Below are 23,469 nucleotides of genomic sequence, written 5' to 3'. Positions count from 1 at the left end.
CCAACATGGTGAAACCCCGTCTCTACTAAAAATACAAAAATTAGCGGGGCGTGGTGGCATCTGCCTGTAGTCCCAGCTACTCTGGAGGCTGAGGCAGGAGAATCACTTGAACCTGGGAGGCAGAGGTTGCAGTGAGCTGAGATCACACCACTGCACTCCAGCCTGGGCAACAGAACAAGACTCTGTCTCAAAAAAAAAAAAAGAAAGAAAGAAAATATATGTAGCATCCATGATCAACTTACTTTGAAGTCATTTTCCCTCTGTTAACTAAGATTATTTAACCAGCCTCCAAAGTGGATGACCTAAGTACTAAAATGTTAGAACCTGAAACCCGGACAGTCTCATAATTTTCAGAAGGACAACAGGGTCCTTGTACCTGCCTTACTGCTATGGCTTCCTGAAGTCACTGCCTGGGCAAGGAAAGGACGTCTCATGTGCTGTGCACTTAAAGGATATGGGCCAGTGGCCGTTCATTTCTTCTCTGTAATAAAGAAGTGATAAGAGTTGGACTTAAGTCCTAATATCGGTGGTGGCCTGGACAAGGACAAGATAATAACATGAAAGAAGCAGCCTTCACAGCCACCTTTTCTTGAAACTCACATCTGTGCCCCTGCACACAGTGTGCAAGTGTACACACACACACACACCTGAACTAACCCCAAAATAGAGAGATGCAGAGAGAGATCTGAGCAGAACTAAAAGTTTGATGCACAGCTCCAGCTGCAGCATGACCTGGAATCAGGCTCATCCAAGTCATAACAGTTTGTTCCAGAAAAGAACAAGGTTTGACTGTAGGTATTCATGTTCTCTGCAGTCTTTCCCTCAGATCCCGAGCTCATTTTGTCCAATAATTTGTGCATCAATTTTGGTGGTAAGAACGCTGAGAAGCAGGATGGCACTACACATGCACTCTCGGGACAGCCATGATCCTGTAGGGAGGGAGGGAAAGACATAGAAGAGCAGTGAACATTATCTATACCATGTGGAGGACTGAGGCTTGCTCTACTAATTACAGATGAGGAATCTAGCAGGTTGACTCTCAGATTTAAACACTAAACAAAGGGTCAAAAACTTAAATACAAGAGTAACTGTGGCTGGATCAAGGTGACATCAGCCTTGCTAGGCTGATGACAGTGAGAAGCTCCTCCCTACCCATCAGAGATGAACAAATGAGTGAAGCAGGGTGCTATGGACTGAACTGTATCTCCCCCAAATTCATATGGTGAAGCCCTAACCCCAAATATCATTGTATCATTGGCAATGGGCCTTTGGGAGGGGTTAGGGTTAGATGAGGCCATGAGGGTAGGCTCCTCATGATGGGGTTGGTAGCCTTATAAGGAGGGAAAGAGGGCTGTCTCTCTCTCCTCCATGTGAGGACACAATGTGGTGGCTGGCTGCAAGCTAGGAAGGGGTCCTCACCAGATAGCAAATCAGCCAGCACCTTGATCTTGGATTCCCAGCTTCCGGAACTGTGAGAAATAAATTTCCATTTTTTAAGTCACCCAAACTGTGCTGTTTTGTTATAGAGACTCAAGAGAATTGATACAAGAAGCAATCACAGAGCTGGGTCTTAACTGAGCCCTAGGTGTCCGTTCCTACAGATTCACAGAGGAATGATTGGGAACATTGTCACTTTCACGGGACTACACCGTGTGTGTGTGTGTGTGTGTGTGTGTGTGTGTGTGTGTGTAAATATATATAATGGCTCTGACCTTAAAAAGGTCAGGACTCCAGCCTAAACAACATAAGAAGACTCCAGTTCTACAAAAAATTTAAAAATTAGCACAATGGTGCACAGCTGTAGTCCCAGCTCTTCAGGAGGCTGAGGCAGGAGGATCACTTGAGTCCGGGAGGTCGAGGCTGTGGTGAGCTATGATTGTGTCACTACACTCCAGCCTGGATGACAGAGTGAGACCCTGTCTCAAAAAAGAAAAAAAAAATAGAGGTTAGGACATGGCAAAGAAGGATGTCAATATAAAATAAGAGTATTACCCTACATTCAATTTTCTGTCATTGCAGACGCTGAGACACATATGATAATCACACAATCCAGCAAGAAATACTTGCAAACTTATAATTATCTTACTAATAAGACATGCTAACCTCACAAAAATTTCCCAGATGCATTTTTATAGCACATATATTTTCATAGCAGCATTTCCCAGTGGATAACACTATTGTATAATCAATCTTATTGATATTTTGGAAGATAAATGTAACATGGACCATGGGAGTCTACAAATTACTTTCTCGTTGGGAGCACATCAATCTAGTGAAGGAAAGAGTGTCCCAAGATGTCTGATTGTTTTAGACCAACAATTTTCAAATCAATTGGTGCAGAATTCCTCACTGCTTCAGGGAAATGGAGCACTGGGATGGGAGGTCAGGGGAAGGGCTCCACGCTCCTCCAGCACCGCCCCTCACCCACAGCTGAGCCACTTTTATCTAGTTCACATACTGTACATAAAAATCGTGGGGTTTATGTGTATCTTATATTGTATACAGTTTATGATTTCATGTTACATGTTTATATACTTCTATCTCTGCTAGAACTCATAAATTGACAAAAAATACTATTTATAATAGGATAAAAAACTAAAAGATTGGGGGTACACTGAAACTACTAAATATTATTGAGAGAAATCAAATAAAACAAAAATAAATGGAAGACCGGGAGTAGTGGCTCATGCCTGTAACCCTAACACTTTGGGAAGCCGAGGCACGCAGATCACTTGAGGCCAGGAGTTCGAGACCAGCCTGGCCAATATGGTGAAACCCAGTATCTACTAAAAATACAAAAAAAAATTAGCCAGGCATGGTGGTGCACACCTGTAATCCCAGCTACTCGGGAGGCTGAGGTGGGAGGATTGCTTGAACCCAAGAGGCAGAGGTTGCTGTGAGTCGAGATTGCACCACTGCACACTCCAGCCTGGATGACAGAGCAAGACTCCATCTCAAATAAATAAATAAATGGAGAGATACTGTATTAGTCAGGGTTCTCCAGAGAAACAGAATATACATATTCTAAAAACACATATATTCTGAGAAAGGGAGAGAGAGAGATTTATTATAAGGAATTTACTGGGCTGGGCATGGTGACTCTTACTTGTAATCTCAGCCCTTTGCCCACAAAAAAGAAAAAAAAAAAAAAAAGCTATAGTCCTGTGTGATTCTGGAGGCCGGCCAGCCAGTCTGAATATCTGCAGGGTGAGCCAGCAGTAAGGAGAGCTGGAGACTGAAGGCTTCAGGCTGAGGCGGGGAGGCTTAAGACCCAGGAAGAACCAGTGTTTCCGTTTGAGTCTGAAGGAAGGAAAATGCCAATGTCCCAGCTCGAAGGCAGGCAGGAGGAACCTTCTCTTACTCGAGGAGCCCTTTTGTGACTCTTTTTTCTCTTGGTGTTTCATTGTGGATGCTTTCTATTGCTATGTAGTTAACTTCACTACTACGTATTATTCTTCAGTGTCTAATCCCATTCAGTTAGGATGAATTCCTAATCCTATCAATTCTGCTTTTCATCTCAGACATTGTGGTTTTTACTTCTAGAAGTTCAACTTGAGTCTTTTTTATATTTTCTGTGTCACTACTTAACATGTTCAATCTTTCCTGTAGCTTCTTGAATGTATCAAATGCAGTTATAACTGTTTTAACGTTCTTGTTTGCTCATTCTATACCTACGTTATTTCTGGGTCAGTTTTGATGATTTTTCTCCTCATTGTGGATCTTATTTTCCTATTCCTTTGCATGCTAGGCAATTTTTTTTATTACCAATGTGATTGTCAGGTGCTAGACTTTTTTGTATTCCTAAAATAATCTTGAGTTTTGGACATAGTTCATTTCTTTTTTTTTTTTTTTTTTTTTTTTTTTTTTTTTTTTTTTTTTTGAGACGGAGTCTAGCTCTGTCGCCCAGGCTGGAGTGAAGTGGCGCAATTTTGGCTCACTGCAACCTCTGCCTCCTGGGTTCAAGTGATTCTCCTGCCTCAGCCGCCCGAATAGCTGGGATTACAGGCGCCCACCACCACGCCCAGCTAATTTTTGTATTTTTAGTAGCAACGTGGTTTCACTGTGTTGGCCAGGCTGGTCTTGAACTCCTGACCTCGTGATCCGCCCACCTCAGCCTCCCAAAGGGCTGGGATTACAGGCGTGAGCCACCGTGCCCAGCCATAGTACATTTCTTTAAAACAGTTTGATCCTTTTAGATCTTGCCTTTAAACTTTGCAAAGCAGGACCAGGTCAGCATTTAGTCTCTGGTCAATGTATCCTCATAACAAACTGGCTTTTCCCCATTTATCCAGCTGTCTTTGAATATTAAAAGTTGGACTTTTCAAGGGAAAAATTATCTTCACGACTGAGGCAAAACCCTTCTGGGTGTTCTGCCTGACTGCTGGGGGAGCAGGCTCTGTCTCAGGTCCCAGGTGAGCTCTGAGGAGTGGGCTTCGGATCATCCCAGGTGTCTCTTTCCCCAGCCTCAGGTGCTTTTTTCACACTCGTACTAATCTGTACTGAGCTGGATACTCAATGGGGACCTCTGGAGACCTCCAGAGTTCTTTCTTACTGTGCAGCTCTCTCCTCGCCAGCACTCTGCCCTGCAAAATCCAGCCATCCTGGCCTCCCAGATTCCCAGCTATGCCTCCCAAGTCAGGGAGGCTGTGGGCTTTTCCTGGGTTCTCCCTCCCATGCCACAACCTGGAAACTCCCTGCACGCGGCAAGCTGGGGCGGCTGCGGGACTCATCTCCCTTGTTTCCCATCTTCATTGCTTGATATCCATGGTTTTATATCTTCTGTGTGGATTTTTGGTTGCTTCGGGTAAGAGAATATATTTGGTCCCTGTTAAAGAAATGTCTATCCTTATCTGTGCAAGTACCCTATAGCAAAACAAGTGAAAATTATGAACAAGTATTTCATCATGGACTTTTTCATGATGTTGAAGCAACTGCCAATATGATGCAGGAGATTCAAACCACTACAAAGAGGAAAGACGAGGACACAAAAAATATTTCATAAGGAAATAGAGTATTTTTTTAATGACTAGCAGACCTTGGAAAAGAAGTGGAAGGAAAGAAAATCACAAAAATGAAAGAAAAACTGGAAGTAACACAAGGGAGACTAAGCATTGCCAAAAACCCAGGAAGAGCTGGAGAAGAGAGAATTAGAAAAGCAGGAAAAAGGAAATGGAAGCAAATAATTAAAAAAAAAAATCAGAGAGAAACTAACTGCTATGGATGAATGGCAATGGCGGCCCAATTTATGTATAAGATGAAAACAAAAATAATGAGACAAACTAAATATTTAAAAATATAACTCAAGAAAGTGTCCCAGAACTAGGAGAAGACATAAATCTACCATGTCCGAGAAAAAATTGACACAAAGCATTCAGCACTGAGGCATATTCCAAAAAGCCTGTATAGGCTGGGCACGGTAGCTCACGCCTGTAATCCCAGCACTTTGGGAGGCTATGGCAGATGGATCACCTGAGGTCAGGAGTTCAAGACCAGCCTGGCCAAAATGGCGAAACCCCATCTCTACTGAAAATACAACAATTAGCCAGGCGTGGTGGTGTGTGCCTGTAATCCCAGCTAATCAGGAGGCTGAGGCAGGAGAATAGCTTGAACCCTAGCTAGGAGGCGGAGGTTGCAGTGAGCCAAGATCGCACCATTGCACTCGAGCTGGGGCAACAAAGCAAGATTCTGTCTCAAAAAAAGAAAAGAAGAAGAAAACAAAAAGCCTGTGTACATCAAGGTAAAAAGTTCAAGTCACCCATAAGTAGAGGCAGCAGGGAGTGGATGAGGCTGACCCCAAGGCTCTGCCCATCAATGTTCAATGCTAGAAGACAGTGGAGCAATGTATAAATGTGCTCAAGGAAAGAACAAATAGCCTGAGAACTTTATATACAGCCAAGCTGTCATTCAAGAATTAAGCTAAAAGATTAAAAAGCCTCAACCTCCTGTTTTCCATAAGTTTGTCTTTAGAAACTACCAAAGAATGAATGTCAGCCAACCAAACATAACAGGAAAAACTACTGCAAAAAAGAAGCTAGTGGTGGTGGCTCACACCTGTAATCCTAGCACTTTGGGAGACTGAGGGCAGGAGGATCACTTGAGCCCAGGAGTTCAAGACCAGCCTGGGCAACATAGTGAGACCCCATCTCTACAAAATAATACAAAAATTAGCCAGGTGTGGTGGCACACACCAAGTAGTCCCAGCTACTTGGGAGGCTGAGGTGGGAGGATCAATTGAACCCAGGAGGTTGAAGCTGCAGTGAGCCATGATCAAGCCACTGCACTTCAGCCTGGGCAACATAGCAAGACCCTATGTCAAAAAAAAGCAGGGGTAGGCCAGGTGTGGTGGCTCATGCCTGTAATGCCAACACTTTGGGAGGCCGAGGCAGGTGGATCACAAGGTCAAGAGATCGAAACCATCCTGGCCAATATGGTGAAAACCCATCTCTACTAAAAATACAAAAATTAGCCAGGCATGGTGGTGTGCACCTGTAGTCCCAGCTACTCAGGAGGCTGAGGCAGGAGAATCACTTGAACCCAGGAGGCAGAGGTTGCAGTGAGCCAAGTTTGTGCCACTGCATTCCAGCTTGGCCACAGATCAAGACTCAGTCTCAAAAAAAAAAAAAAAGTGGGGCTGGCAAGAATAGTACTAACATTAAAACAAATATGATTACAGAATAATACAAATATTATAAATACTGGCAACTAAATATAATAATCAAAAATTGGAAAGGGAAGGGAGAGAAGTTGGCAGCTGACAGCTTTCACATGAGATCCCCCCGCCTGAGGTTAAGTCTTTTCTGGGGGCAGTGCACATGCAACGCTGGTCCATGCACGCGTCTGAGGGCCCAGTGCCCTCCCTGGATCCGCAGCACTCTAAAGGGCCTCCCCAGCTTCAGAGCACCTCAGGGACTGGCTGCAGCTTCTACTGTGACCATCTCACATCTCAACCCTCTTCTGGGGTACAGAGGCCCTGCCACTTGGGCCACACAACTCAGGAAAGCCTATGATATTAGAGGTATCTGCAGTGAGGAAAGACAGCAGGTGGAGCAGTGTCTTAAGGCAGGTCCCTCCAGGACCGCCAGGCCTTAAGCAATGCCCTGTTGGCTGGAGCAGACAATTACACCTTTCGAGAATGGCTCTTGGTGCACTACTGGCCCTGGGAGAGAGAGTGTGCATGATCATAGCCAACCAGGTGGCCGAGCAGCCAGGGCTGCCACGATGGCAGGCTCTGTCGGACCTACTAAGCCACAGGTCCAGTGAGCCCATCACCTCACCTTGCAGGGAGCAAGCCACTGGGAAGGGAAGGGGTGCCCGGGGTCAGGCACAATCCAGACCAGAACGGGCAGCGAGCCCACAAGCCAGCGCTCTGAACATCACGCCACCCCCATCATCACCTCAGTGTCCTCCCCCGGCGCACACCTGTGGCCACACTGGGAGGCAGCAAGTCTGGACCAGCTCATCCAGGAAGAGCAAGGCCCACATAGCTCCAGTGCTGGTCCCTGGCATGCACCACAGCCCCACCGAGGGCAGCCCCGCGAGGCGGCAGCCCCTGGCCCACACCCACCATCCCTGTGGCCTGAGGTTGGAACACACAGGGACTTGTGGAAGAGGCAGCAGGCTCGGCTGGCAGGGAGGGGCCTGAAGGAAAACAACGGGAAGCCAGAGACATGGAGGACAAAGGAAGGGGCCGCGGCGGCCCTGTGGGAGTGGCACAGAGCACCATGCCCACCACAGAAGAGACATCCAACACCCAGGCAAGCAGAGTGGCTCAGCAGTCGACATCAGCGCGTCTGTCATCAGCCACCTTGGGGCCGGCACGGCAGGCACATGCAGAGAGTGTCAACGGTAGAAGGAAAGGTGGAGGCCAAAGGGCCACAGGGCCATTCTTCCAACCACCGCTGTTCAGTGTGCCACCCACTTGTGACAGCAACCGACACAGGGCCCTGTACACCACCACGCCAGAGATGGTCAACCAGATCCCTGGGGCACAGAAGGTCTGCTGGAGCCCTTTCCCTGGGAAGGGTGGCTTCACCCTGCCTGGAACAGATATCCTCTCAGGATGGGTCAGCCCTTCCTGCCTCACACCCTGTTCCTAGGGGCAGCCAGGACCAGGACTGTCTGATGGACATAAAGGCCCAGCTCCCTAAATTCTGACGGTTCTGAAGGGCCGTCACTCTGTTGTGACTGCATCACAGCTCACATTCTCCCTCTGCCCAATCCTGATCTTTTTACTCCCAGGAGTGTTGCTCCCAGGAGGAATTCTCAACAACCTCCCTGCATGAAAAGCTCCACCTCACAGCCTGCGTCCTGGAGACCTACTTGCAACAGGGGGCCAGGCTAGAGACAGAAAGACCAGCCCAGGACAGTGTGTGTGGACACCTCTCCACACAACTCACTGTTGGTCCGGACCAGAAGGCTAGGCACAGTCTAGTGTTAGGTTCCCAAAAACAAAGCAGTTGATTCTGATCTCTGAGTTTCCATCAAGGGACCCAGGCAGCGGCTCACAGACCTGAAGGTGCATCCAGGGTCTGGGCCTCTGGATTAGAGAATCAGGATTCCAAGAGAGAACAAGAAGAAAGCTGTTAAACTGGCGAATACACTTAACAACAACAAGGACCCCATTTGCAGCCACAGGCTGTGATGCAACTTGCATTAAGTAAATAAAAATCATAAAATAAAATATGCCCTGTGTGAATTTTAAAACAACCAGAACAGAGGCTGGGCATGGTGGCTCATGCCTGTAATCCCAGCACTTTAGGAGGCTGAGGAGGGCAGATCACCTGAGGTCAGGAGTTTGAGACCAGCCTGGCTAACATGGTGAAACCCCATCTCTACTAAAAATACAAAAAATTAGCTGGGCATGGTGGTGCACGCCTGTAGTCCCAGCTACTGGGGAGACAGGAGAATCACTTGAACCCAGGCGACAGAGGTTCCAGTAAGCTGAGATCGCATCACTGCATTCCAGCCTGGGCGACAGAGCAAGACTTTGTCACAAAAATAAAAACACACACAGAACTGCTTGGCTTGAATATGACAGCAAGGATGAGAACATCAGTTTTCTGACTCGGAAAATGGGTTGTGTCTGGAGGAGAGCTTATTATTAAGCTGGATTAAACCACACTAAAATAATGTCTCTGCAGTCAGCTAGATGATCCCTATCAACGGCCTTCAGTGAGTTGATCCATAGTGACACAAAGCAAGGTGCTGTTCTTAAGGTGCTGTTCTTAAGGTGCTATTCGCAAGGTGCTATTCTTAATCCCCGCAAAACATGAAAATAGGCAAAGTCATACAAATCCTGAAATGATTGAAATATGGCTAATATGGCTCCCTAAGAAAACTGCCAACTCTGATAAGTCAAGGAGAAATAGAGATTTAGTTACTGTATCCCCCTTTCCATTCTGCTTTCTCTTTCTTTCCTTTTTTTTTTTTTTTTTTTATTTTGGATGGACTCTTGCTCTGTTGCCCAGGCTGGAGTGCAATGGCACAATCTCGGCTCACTGCAACCTCCATCTCACAGGTTCAAGCAATTCTTCTGCCTCAGCCTCCCGAATAGCTGGGATTACAGGCACCTGCCATTATGCCCGGCTGATTTTTGTATTTTTGTAGAGACAGGGTTTCACCATGTTGGCCAGGCTGGTCTTGAACTCCTGACCTCAGGTGATCTGCCCGCCTCTGCCTCCCAAAGTGCTGGGATTACAGGCATGAGCCACTGTGCCCAGCCTCTTTCCTCTTTTCTCGGAGGTCTCTTTTCCTGCCACAAAAGCCAGAAATTACCAAATAAAAACAAGCCCTTGAAATCATATAAGGCTATTTGCAGGGACTGACTCAAAAAGATGATTCTGATATCTGTCTTCCTAGAACTTTAATTTTTATAGATGCCATATTTATAAACTTCATATTAATCCTAATATCTCTATTCAATTTATCAAATGAATATAGCAAGATATCTAAGCAATTCAATATTTCAAATTTTCTTATAATTTTATCATAGTTCATTAAATGATCTTCGATATATTAAAACAAGATAAACCCTGTAGATATAAAGACTATAGTCAAATCCCTGTTGAGACATAACCAAATAAGGTGGCAAAAGTGATAAAATAATAATTTAGGGCCCTAGAGAAAATATGGGTTCTAATTCAATACTGGAAATACTAGAAATTCAATCAGAAAGCAAACAACAGCCCTCCTGGCATTTGGTTTTCTCAACCAATATTCTGATGTTAACCAACAGTTTTATGTCCCTGGTAACTCTGGTACATTCTCTGTTTGCTTATCTAAGATCAGTCTCTGTTTACAATGGGTTTCCTTTTTTTAAAACTGCCAGGGGCCAGGCACGGTGGCTCATGCCTGTAATCCCAGAACTTTGGGAGGCTGAGGCAGGCAGATCACTTGAGGTCAGGAGTTCTAGACCAGCCTGGACAACACAGTGAAACCCCGTCTCTACTAAAAATATAAAAATTAGCCAGGTGTGGTGGTACGTGCCTGTAATCCCAGCTACTCGGGAGACTGAGGCAGGAGAATCACTTGAAACCAGAAGGTGGAGGTTGCAGTGAGCCAAATGGTGCCACTGCACTCCAGCCTGGGCGGCAGAGCAAGCTTCCATCTCAGTCAATCAATCAATCAGTCAATCAATAAAAATAAAACTGCCAGGATCATTTGAGGAAACTCTATCCATAGTTTCTCTGAACATGGTTGCCACATATTGAAATGGCACATAGCATTTCATAAAAGGAAGTGTGGGCGTGCTCCCCTCGCAGGTTTCTGAACCCTCATCCCTGCCTCCCACAGCCAGGCTGGCTCCACCTCGCCGCATGTCTTCCGCCAACAGACTCAGAACTACAAGGGAAGGGAGTCGTACTCAAGGTAACCTACTTTTTTAAGAGCAACAGAGGAAGACAAAGGGCTTCAGAACTACCTAGGTTTCACTTATGTGTTCACAGCATGATATAAAAAATGAATCTTCAGGAGAATCAAAAGGAAAAGCACCTTCATGCTCTGAGGACATGCATTTGGTTTCTGATGAGTCTCTCTAGAAACCTGTGTTTTTATGCACACACTCCTCTCACCCAAGCTGGACTCCCTCCATGTACACAGCGCTGAATGCTATGGTCGGCTCTGATTTCTGTTGTGTCACATGAAAGGCAATTGCAATAAAACATGTATGCACATTTTTACGTTTATAAAGTGCCTGATACTAAACAAGTCTGGTATTTGCAAAATTTCAGCTTTTATTTAGCAAAACCAAAAGTAAAACAAACAAATGCCCTGTTTCTCTTAGGAACTGCCTACTGGCAAAAACAGCTCTGGTCAAACACAGGAATTTTTGCTCCCAGAAGGCCAAGATAACACATGTGCCTATAAATAGCAAAGAAGCTGTTCTGGAAAGTAATACATGAAAATGGGCTATGTCAAGCTTCTTTCTCTCTGAGTCTTGCATCAGCCCCAGTGAATTTCCTCAAATGGCTGCCTTGCTGAGCCTGCTTATTTTCAAGTCAGTCTGGTCACCTCCAGCTATTGCCTTCACTACCAGGTCAGAAGAAACAGATGGGCTTTTTGCAGGTACTACTTTATCCAGAGCACTGCCAAGTGACACCATTACTCACCCAGATTAGTACTGTTTTTCTCTGAATCATCAAGGCTGTTAACTGTAACAACAGAATAGAAAGCACTATGTTATTCAGGTGTTCTTTATTTAGCTTAAGTTTTAGGTGTCTCCACTACTTCCCAATTCAGCTGGATGGGAATTGACAACTTACTTGATGAGCTGGTATTTCAGAATTCAGTCAGCTCCAGTTTTAGCAATATTCCACTCCTTTCTTTGCATATTGCCAACCAGGAACGTCTGTCCTGGAAAAACCAAGGAGGCAGAGTAAGATGGTAGAACAGATGGCTCCACCAATCTTCCTTCCCCTGCAAGGACACCAGTTTAACAACCATCTACACACACAAAAAAAAAAAAAACCTTCATGAGAACCAAAAATCAGGTGGACACTCACAGTACCGGGTTGTAACTTCATATCACTGAAAGAGGCACTGAGGAGTTAGGAAAAACAGTCCTGAATCACCAATGCCACCCCTCCCCAACCCCTGGCAGTGGCTGCATGGTGCCCAGAGCATCTCTGTGCACTGGGGAGAGGGAGAGCATAGCAATCGTGAGGCCTAAAACTCAATGCTGCCCTGTTATAGCAGAAAAGAAAGCCAGACCAAACTCAGCTGATGCTCACCCAGGAAGGGAGCATTTAAATCAGCCCTGGCCAGAGTGGAGATGCCCATCCCAGCGATCTGAATCTGAGCTGCTACAAGCCTTGCCACCATAAGCTGAAGTGCTCTGGCACCCTACATCAACTAGAAAGGCACTCTAGGTCACAAGGACTGCAACTTCTAGGACAATCCTAGTGCTCAACTGTGCCCAGAGCCAGAGGATTGGGGGGGCACATGACATACTGAGACACCAGCCAGGGCAGCTAAGGGAGTGCTGGCATCACTCCTCCCTTAACCCCAGGCTGCACGGCTCATGGCTCCAAACAAGACCCCTTTCGTTTGCTTGAGGAGAGAAGACAGATGAGTGGGGTGGACTTTGTCTTGTATCTTGGATGTCGGCTCAGCCCTAGCAGGATAGGGCAATGGGCAGAGTCACAAGGCCCCCTTTCCAGGCCCTAGTGCCTAGATGATATTTCTAGACACACCCTGGGCCAAAAGGAAACCTGCTGCCTTGAAGGGAAGGACCCAGTCCTGGCGGATTCATTACCTGCTAACTGAAGAGCCCTTGAGCCCTGAATAACCAGCACCAACACCTAGGTACCACATCAGGGCCTTGGCTGAGACTCTGAGGCTCAGCACATTCCCAGCTGTGGTGGCTATGGGGCAAGACTCCTCCCACTTGAGGAAAGGAGAGGAAAAAGTAAAGGCGATTTTGTCTTGCACCTTAGGTACCAGCTAGGCCACAGGGGAGTAAAGCACCAAGTGGGCTGTTGGGTCCCTGATTCCAGGACTTGGCCAGAGGGGTGCCTGCTGCCCTGATGGGTGAGTCCTCGGCCAGATAGCATTCACCACAAGCTGAATGAAGAGCACTTGGGACTCAACGGAACATTGGCAATAGTCTGGCAGTACTCCCCATGGGTGGTCATGGGGTGAGGCTCTGCTGCCTTAGAAAGGGAAGGGAAGAGTGGGAAAGACTGCATCTTGTGGGTTCAGTGCCAGTTCAGCCACACTACAATAGAACACAAAGTAGACTTCTAAGGCTTTTTACTCTAGTTCCTGGCTCCCAGACAGCACCTTTAGACCTGTCCAGGGCCTAGGAGAACTTGCCAGCTTGAAAGGAAGGTCACAGGCCTGGCTGGCGTTGCTACCAGCTAATTGTAGAGTCCCAGGGCCTTGAGAAAGCATGGGTAGTAGCCAGGGAGTGGCTACAGCAGGCCTTGAGCAAGACCCAGTTCTGTGCTGGCTTCAGGTCTGACCCAGCACGGTCCTAGTGCTGGTGGCCACAGGGGTACTTGTGTCTCTCATCCCCAGGTCCATGTAGCTCAGAACCGAGAGAGAATTTTCATTTGTCTGGGAGAAAGTAAGGGAAAAGAACAACAGTCTGCCTGGTAATCCAGGGAATTCTTCCAGATCTTGTCCAAGACCATCAAGGCCATACCTCTACAAGTCTACAAGAACCACAGGGGCTTGGGATGACCCCTAATGCAGATACATCCTAGATAAAAACATTTAAGTCCTTTTGAATATCTGGAAAGCATTCCCAAGATGGACAGATTCAAACAAGCCCAGACTGAGAAAACTACAATAAATACCTAACTCTTGAATGCCCAGACACAAACAGACATCTACAAGTATCAAGACCATCCAGGAAAACATAACCTCCCCAAATGAATTGAATAAGTCACCAGGGATGAATCCTGGAGAAACAGAGATATGTGACCTTTCAGACAGAGAATTCAAAATAGCTGTCTTGAGAAAACTCGAAGAAATTCAAGATAACACAGAGAAGGAATTCAGAATTCTATCAGATAAAGAGATTGAAATAATTTAAAAGAATCAAGCAGAAATTCTGGAGCTGAAAAATGCAATTGGCATACTAAAGAATGCATCAGAGTCTTTTAAAAGCAAAACTGATCAAGCAAAAGAATTAGTGAGCTTGAAGACAGGCTATTTGAAAATACACAGAGAAGGCTGGGCATCGTGGCTCATGCCTATAATCCCAGCACTTTGGGAGGCTGAGGCAGGTGGATCAACTGAGGTCAGGAGTTCAAGACCAGCCTGGCCACCACGGTGAAACCCATCTCTACTAAAAATACAAAAATTAACTGGGTGTAGTGATGGGTGCCTGTAATCCCAGCTATTCAGGAGCCTGAGGCAGGAGAATTGCTTGAAACTGGGAAGCAAAGTTTGCAGTGAGCTGAGATCACACCACTGCACTCCAGCCTGGGCAACAGAGCGAGACTTCATCTCAAAAAAAAATAAAAAGAAAAAAAGAAAATACACAGAGGAGACCAAAAAGAAGAATTTTTTTTAAAAATGAAGCACACCTAAAGGATTTAGAAAATAACCTCAAAAGGTCAAATCTAAGACTTACTGGCCTTAAATAGGAGGTAGAGAAAAAAATAGGGGTAGAAAGTTTATTCAAAGGAATAAAAACAGAATTTCCCAAACCTAGAGAAAGACATAAATATCCAAGTACAAGAAAGTTAAAGAACACAAAGCAGATTTAACTGAAAGAAGACTACCTCAGGACATTTAATAAACAAACTCCCAAAGGTCAAGGATAAAGAAAGGATCCTAAAAGCAGGAGAAAAAAAAAAAAAACATACAATGGAGCTCCATTACGTCTGAGAGCAGACTTTTCAGTGGAAACCTTACAGGCCAGGAGAGAGTGGCATAGCATATTTAAAGTGCTGAAGGAAAAAAAACTTTTACCCTAGAATGGTATATCTGGTGAAAATATCCTTCAAACATGAAGGAATAATAAAGATTTTCCCAGACAGACAAAAGCTGAGAGATTTCATCAATGCCAGACCTGTCCTACAGGAAATGCTAAAGGGAGGACTTTGACCAGAAAAAATAAAGGACATTTTGAGCAATAAGAAATCATCTGAAGGTTCAAAACTTGCTGGTAATAATAAGTACTCAGAAAAACACAGAATATTATAATACTGTAACTGTGGTGTTTAAAGTACTCTGAAGTAGAATGACTAAATAATGAACAATTAAAAATAATAACCACAAGAAGAAAAATAATAATAATAACTACAACTTTTGAGACAGAGACAGTACAATAAAATATAAATAGAAACAACAAAAAGTTTAAAAGTGAGGAGATAAAGTTAAGGCATAGAGTCTTCATTAGTTTTCTTTTTGCTTGTTTGTTTCTTTATGCAAACAGTGTTATCAGTTTAAAATAATAAGTTATAAGATAGTATTTGTAAGCTTCGTAGTAACCTCAAATAAAAAAATTCAATGAATACACAAAAAATAAAAAGCAAGAAACTAAATCGTATCAACTGGGAAAATCATCTCCTCTAAAAGGAAGACAGAAAAGAAAGAAAGAGAAGACCACAAAACGACCAGAAAACAAATAACAAAATGGCAGGAGTAACTTCTTACATATCAGTAATAACATTGAAAGCAAAGGGACTAAACTCTTCAATCAAAAGATATAGAGTGAATGAATGGGTAAAAAAATAAAATAAATTTTAAAAAATGATCTGTTGCCTACAAGAAACACACTTTACCTGTAAAGACACACATAGACTGAAGGGATGGAAAAAGATAAAATTCCATGCCAAAGGAAACCAAAAAAGAACAGGAGTAGCTGTATTTATATCAGAAAAAAATAGATTTAAAGACAACTATAAGAAGAGACAAAGAAGGTCACTATATGATAAAGAGATCAATTCAACAAGAGGATATAACAATTTTAAATATATATGCACCCAACACTGGAACACCCACATATATAAAGCAAATATTATTAGAGCTAAAGGGTGTCATAGGCCCCAATACAATAATAACTAGAGACTTTAACACCCCACTTTTAGCACTGGACAAATGTTTCAGACCAAAAATCAACAAAGAAACATTGGACTTAATCTGCACTATAAACCAAATGGACCTAATAGATTAACAGATATTTACAGAACATTTCATCCAATGGCTGCAGAATACACATTCCTCTTTTTTTTTTTTTTTTTTTTTTTAGATGGAGTCTAACTCTATTGCCCAGGCTGGAATGTGGTGACATGATCTCGGTTCACTGCAACCTTCGCCTCCCAGGTTCAAGCAATTGTCGTTATTCCCAAGCAGCTGGAATTACAGAAGTGCACCACCATACCCGGCCAAATTTTGTATTTTTAGTAGAGACTAGGTTTCACCATGTTGCCCAGGCTGGTTTCAAACTCCTAAGCTCAGGTGTTCTGCCAGCCTTGGCCTCCCAAAGTGCTGGGATTACAGGCATGAGCCACCACACCTGGGCCAGAATATACATTGTTTTCTTCAGCACGTACATCATTCTCAAAAATAGACCATATGTTAGGTCACAAAACAAGTCTAAAAACATTCAAAAAAATGAAATAATATCAAGCATCTTCTCTGACCACAATGGAATAAAATTAGAAACTAATGACAAGAAGAATTTTGGAAACTATACAAATACATGGAAATTAAACAATACGCTCCTGAATGACCAGTAAGTCAATGAAGAAATTAACAAAGAAATTGAAAAATTTCTGGCAACAAATCATAACCAAAACACAGCATACCAAAATCTTAGTACTATAAAAGCAGGACTAACAGGAAAGTTGATAGCTATAAGCGCCTATATCAAAAAAGAAGAAAAACTTCAAAGAAACAATCAAATGATACATCCTAAAAAATTAGAAAAGCAAGAGCAAACTGAACCCAAAATTAGTAGAAGAAAAGAAATAATAAAAATCAGAGAATAAATAAATGAAATTGAAATGAAGAAAACAATACAAAGATCAATGAAACAAAAAGTTGGCTTTTTGGGAAGTTAAACAAAATTGGCAAACCTTTAGCCAGACTAAGAAAAAAAGAGAGAAGATCCAAATAAATAAAATCATAGTTGAAAAAGGATACATTAACAGCTGATACCACAGAAATTCAAAGGATCATTAGTAGCTACTATGAGCAACTATATCCCAATAAATTGGAAAATCTAGAAGAAATGGACAAATTCGTAGACACATACAACCTACCAAGACTGAACCACGAAGGAAACCACAATCTGAACAGACCAGTAACAAATAACAAGATCAAAGCCATAAAAAAAGTCTCCCACCAAAGAAAAGTCTGGCACTTTGGGAGGCTGAGGCAGGCAGATCACCTGAGATCAGGAGTTCAAGACCAGCCTGGTCAACATAGTGAAACCCCATCTCCACTAAAAATACAAAAATTAGCTGGGAGTGGTGGCACACACCTGCAGTCCCAGCTACTTAGGAGGCTAAAGCAGGAGAATTGCTTGAACCCAAGAGATGGAGGTTGCAGTGAGCTGAGATTGCACCACTGCACTCCAGCCTAGGTGACAGAGTGAGACTCTGTCTCAAAAAAAAAAAAACAAAAAAAAAAAAAAGAAAAGAAAAGAAAAAGAAAAGCCCAGAACCCAATGGCTTCACTGCTGAATTCTACCAAACATTTAAAGAACTAATACCAACCCTACTCAAACTATTCGGAAAAATAGAGGAGGAAGGAATCCTTCCAAACTCACTCTACAAGGCCAGTATTACCCTGATACCAAAACCAGATAAAGACACATAAAGAAAGAAAGAAAGAAAGAAAGAAAGAAAGAAAGAAAGAAAGAAAGAAAGAAAGAAAGAAAGAAAGGAAGAAAGAAAAAGAAAACTACAGGCCAATATCTCTGATGAATATTGACGCAAAAATCCTCAACAAAATACAAGCAAACTGAATTCAACAATACATTAGAAAGATCATTTATCATGACCAATGGGATTTATCTCTGGGATGCAAGGATGGTTCAACATACACAAATCAATCAATATGATACATCATATCAACAGACTGCAAAATGAAAACCATATGATTAAAAAAAAAAGAAAACTGGCCGGGCGTGGTGGCTCACGCCTGTAATCCCAGCACTTTGGGAGGCCAAGGCAGGCAGATCACAAGGTCAGGAGATCAAGACCTTCCTGGCTAACACGGTGAAACCCCGTCTCTACTAAAAATACAAAAAATTAGCCAGGCATGGTGGCGGGTGCCTGTAGTCCCAGCTACTCGGGAGGCTGAGGCAGGAGAATGGTATGAACCTGGGAGGTGGAGTTTGCAGTGAGCCGAGATCATGCCACTGCACTCCCGCCTGGGTGACAGAGCAAGACTCTGTCTCAAAAAAAAAAGAAAGAAAAAGAAAAAAAAAAAGAAAACCATATGATCATTTCAATTGATGAGAAACAGACCCACAGCTAGTATCGTATTGCATGGGGAAAAACTAAAAGCCTTTCCTCTAAGACCTGGAACATGACAAGGATGTCACTTTTACCATTGTTATTCAAGATAGTACTGGAAGTCCTAGCTAGAACAATCAGAAAAGAGAAAGAAATAAAGGGCATCCAAATCAGAAAGGAAAAAGTCAAATTATCTTTGTTTGCAGATGATATGATCTTATATTTGGAAAAACCTAAAGACTCCACAAAAAAACTATTAGAACTGATAAATTTAGTAAATTTGCAGGATACGAAATCAGTATACAAAATCAGTAGCATTTCTACCTGCCAACAGTGAACAATCTAAAAAAGAAATTTTAAAAGTAATCAACTTAAAATAGTCACAAATAAAATTAAATACCTAGGAATTAACCAAAGTAATAAAAGATCGCTATAATGAAAACTATAAAATGATGAAAGAAATTGAAGAGGATACCAAAAAAAATGAAAAAATATTCCATGTTCATGAATTGGAAGGATCAATATTGTTAAAATATCCATACTGCCCAAAGCAATCCACAGATTCAATGCAATCCCTATCAAAATACCAATGACATTCTTCAAAGAAATAGAAAAAAAGAACCCTACAGTTTATATGGAACCACAAAAGACTCAGAATAGCCAAGGCTATCCTAAGCAAAAAGAACAAAACTGGAGGAATCACATTACCTGACTTCAAATGATACTACAGAGCTATAATAACCAAAACAACATGGTACTAGCATAAAAACATTCACATAGGCCAACGGAATTGAATACAAAACCCAGAAACAAATTCACACATGTACAGTGAACTTATTTTTAACAAAGGAGCCAAGAACATACACTGAGGAAAAGACAGCTTCTTCAATAAATGGTGCTGGGAAAACAAGTATCCATATGCAGAAGAATGAAAGTAGACCTCTATCTCTCACCATATTTAAAAAAAAACAAATAAAAATGGATTCAAGACTTAAATCTAAAAACTCAAACTATGAAACTACTACAAGAAGACAGAAGAGAAACTCTCCAGGACTTTGGTCTGGGCAAAAATTTCTCCACAAGCACAGGCAACCAAAGCAAAAATGGAAAAATAGGATCACATCAAGTTAAAAAGCTTCTGCACAGCAAAGGAAACTATCAACAAAGTGAAGAGACAACCCCACAGTATGGGAGAAAATATTTGCAGACTGCCCATCTGACAGGAGATTAATAACCAGAATATATAAGGAGCTCAAACAACTCTATAGGAAAAAAATCTAATAATCCAATTTAAAATGGCCCAAATATTTGAAATAGCCATTTCTCAAAAGAAGACATACAAGTTCTGGCGCAGTGGCTCATGCCTGTAATCCCAACACTTTGGGAGGCCGAGGTGGGAGGATCACTTGAGCCCAGGAGTTCAAGGCCAGCCTGGGCAACATGGAGAAACCCTGTCTCTACAAAAAATACAAAAATTTGCCAGGCATGATGGCATGTGCCTATAGTCCCAGCTACTCAGGGAGCTGAGGTGGGAGGACTGCTTGAGCCTGAGAAGTGGAGATTGCAGTGAGCCAAGATTATGCTAGTGTACTCCAGCCTGGGTAACAGAGTGAGACTCTGTCTTTAAAAAAAAAAAAAAAAAAAAAAAAAAAAAAACCTACAAACAAATGGCAAACAGGCATATCAAAAGGTGCTCAACATCACTGATCATCAGAGAACAGAGACATGCAAATCAAAACCACAATGAGATATCATTTCACCCTATTTAAAATGGCTTTTATCCAAAAGACAGGCAATAACAAATACTGGTGAGTATGTGGAGAAAAGGGAACCTTCATACACTGTTGGTGGGAATGTAAATTAGTAAAACTACTATGGAGAACAGTTTGGAGGTCCCTCAAAAAGCTAAAGAGAGAGCTACCATATGATCCAGCAATCTCACTGCTGGGTATATACCCAAAAGAAAGGAAATCAGTATATCAAAGAGATTTCTGCACTCCCATGTTTGTTGCAGCACTGTTCACAATAGCCAAGATTTGGAAGCATCCTAAGTGTCCATCAACAAATGAATGGATAAAGAAAATGTGGTACATGTACACATGGAGTACTACTCAGCTGTAAAAAAAAGAAAAAAAATGAGATCCTGTCATTTGCAACAACATGAATGGAAATGGAGGTCATTATGCTATTGAAATAAGCCAGGCACTGAAAGACAAACATCTCATATTCTCACTTATTTGTGGGAATCTAAAAATCAAAACAATTGCCTGAGGTCAGGAGTCCGAGACTAGCCTGGCCAACATGGTGAAACCCCATCCCTACTAAAAATACAAAAATTAGTTGGGCATGGTGGTGTGCGCCTGTAATCCCAGCTACTGGGGAGGCTGAGGCAGAAGAATCGCTTGAACCCAGGAGGTGGAGGCTGCAGTGAGCTGAGATTGCACCACTGCACTCCAGCCTGGGCGACAGAGCAAGACTTTGTCTCAGAAAAAATAATAATAATAATAATAATCACATACTACTTGAAAATAAACAAAGGCAGTACATATTCAAGACAGTAGGAAATAGTTTAAAGTCATACTCAAAGGAAAACTTGTAACATTGATTTCATGAAAAACAAGAGTGAAAATAAATTAACTCATCTTCCACTACAAGAAAGTGGTAATAACAATGGTAGCTAACATGCATTGAGGGTTCGTATGTTCTCAGTGTTTCATGTGTATTACTTCATTTAATTCTCATGCCACACTACAATACAGGCATGATTATATTGTCATTTTACTGATGAGGGCACTGAGGCTCAGTGTCTACTAAACACACTGGTACAACAAACTGAGAGGAAGCTTCCACAGCCCATGCTGTTAACACTGAACTGTCTATGACTCAGATAAAAACAGCAAAAAAAGCCAGAGCAAGCAGAGAGCAGATACTACAGAAAAAAAACAGAAGTGAATGAAATGGAAAATATAATTTTCAAGAAATATAGAAAGAACAAAATATATTTGACAAGTAGTATAAATACTAAAGAAAACAATAACCTCAGAAGTTTAAGGTTAATCCCCAAATAGGTGATATGTTCTGAATGCTCTAAGGGAGAATTATACCAAAGCTTTAATGAGCCTATTATTATTATAAACTGTTCCACAGAGCAGAACATGTTGGGAAGCTTCTAAATTCATTATCTTACTACCACAAATCCTAGTATAACCCTGATAATCAAATTATACTGTAACAGAACAATTAAGAAAAGCTCAAAAATGCAAAAAAATCAATAAGTAAATGTCCCTATGAATAAAACTGCAAATATTTGTAAAAAGTAGCATACAAAAGCCATCAATATATTAAAATTATTATAGTACAACAGTAACACATGGAAAATTTATCATTACCACATTTAGCAATATAACTCGCCTTATTAATAAATATTACTTTCTAGGCTGAGCCCAGTGGCTCATGCCTATAATCCCAGCACTTTAGGAGGCTGAGGCAGGCAGATCACCAGAGGTCAGAAGTTCAAGACCAACTTAGCCAACATGGTGAAACCCCGTCTCTACTAAAAATACAAAAGTTAGTCGGGCGTGGTGGCGGGTGCTTGTAATCCCAGCTACTTGGGAGGCTGAGGCAGGAGAATCACTTGAACCCAAGACACAGAGGTTGCAGTGAACAGAGATCACACTACCACACTCCAGGCTGGGCAAAGTGAGACTGTCTCAAAAAAAAAAAAAAAAACTTTCTAAAACAAATGACCGTGAAAGTTAAAAGTTGATCAACAGGTTGGAAGTAACTTTGTTGTTAATACATATAACAGAAGAAAAATATTAAACTTCGAAAAATATACAAAAAGAGTTCATACATAAGATGAATACCTAAACACAAAAAAACAAACAAGGAGTAAATAGCAAGGGAAATACAAAGGAATAAGCTTATTAGAAGATGACCAGGCAGGGCGTGGTGGCTCCTACCTGTAATCCCAGAATTTTGGAAGGCCATGGCAGGAGGATCACCTGAGCCCAGGAGTTTGAGACCAGACTGGGCAACATAGCAAGTCCCCATGTATAAAAAAAAGAAATGAGCCAGGCACAGGGGTGCATTCCCAGCTACCCGGGAGGCTGAGGTAGGAGGATGACTTGAGACCAGGAGTTCCAGGCTGCAGTGAGCTCTGATTATACCACTGCACTACAGCCTGGATAACAGATTGAGACTCTGTCTCAATCTGTATGCTTGAGGAAATGGATTATGTTGTCTACTCTTGGTTAGAACATAAATTGGTTCAGCCTTTGAAAAGAAAATCTGGCAGCTTTCTCTTAAATTTTTGAGTTTGCCATTTCTAGGGAATGATCCTACAGAAATACGCATTTATAAGAGTACGTACAAAAGCTGTTCACTGCAGAATTATTAAGAGAAAAAAGTAGATGTTCACCAATAGCAGTTTATTAACCTGATACACCCATAGCATGGAATGCTGTGAGCAATGAAAAAGAAAAAGGTAATTTATATGTATAAACATGGAAAGATCTCCAAGACAATGTAAAAAACAACAAAAATATGTGCAGGATATATAGTCAATATGGTACCACTTAAGTAAAAACAAACACACGAACTCCCAAACTCTTTTTCTAACCTTACATAAATATGTATGTAAATATATAGAAACCAATATGAAATAACAAAGGCAAAATTGTTAAAGGTGGTTATTTTGGGAGAGAAATGGAATTAACAAGGGAGAGGAGGTTGCTGTAGGAATAGGGGCTTGCATTTTAACATTTTCCTTAAAAATAAGCAAATATTATCTTAAATATATATATATATATATAAAATTTACATTAGCAAAATGAGAAAGTCCTAGAAATATGCAGACATTATAAAACACTATTGGCAAAATAAAGGCTCAAACCAAAAAAGTGACAGACCAATTTTTGGTTCAAATAATGGTTCTCAACCCAGGTGCCATAAAGTGAAGACTATGAATTTGATAGCATATTAAAATTAAGACATATGGCAAATGACTGGGGGAAATTATCCTCAATACATATGACAGATAGTAGCTAATTTC

The 23,469-nt window shown here is 42.2% G+C and overlaps 1 long non-coding RNA gene across 1 annotated transcript, besides 1 other annotated feature; it reads right to left on the bottom strand.

Annotated features, from left to right (window-relative positions):
* Nucleotides 1-1,877: 1,877 nt before the first annotated feature.
* LOC107986941 (uncharacterized) lies at nt 1,878-11,850 on the bottom strand. Its single transcript, XR_007060907.1, has 3 exons — nt 11,760-11,850; nt 11,607-11,648; nt 1,878-1,916 (listed from the first exon to the last, which is right to left on the bottom strand). It is a non-coding gene; the product is annotated as an uncharacterized LOC107986941 (long non-coding RNA).
* Nucleotides 7,044-7,694: an enhancer, noted in NCBI's record as "H3K4me1 hESC enhancer chr8:49017963-49018613 (GRCh37/hg19 assembly coordinates)". NCBI's record gives its function as "activates a minimal SCP1, AML or CMV promoter by ChIP-STARR-seq in naive H9 embryonic stem cells {active_cell/tissue: H9 hESC(naive)}" and the evidence as "EXISTENCE:reporter gene assay evidence [ECO:0000049][PMID:30033119]".
* Nucleotides 11,851-23,469: the final 11,619 nt, after the last annotated feature.

This window comes from Homo sapiens, chromosome 8 (assembly GCF_000001405.40).
Source record: "Homo sapiens chromosome 8, GRCh38.p14 Primary Assembly".
Lineage (NCBI taxonomy): Eukaryota > Metazoa > Chordata > Mammalia > Primates > Hominidae > Homo > Homo sapiens.
Note: the sequence above shows the minus strand (reverse complement) of the source record. Positions and strands in the feature narration are given on the sequence as shown.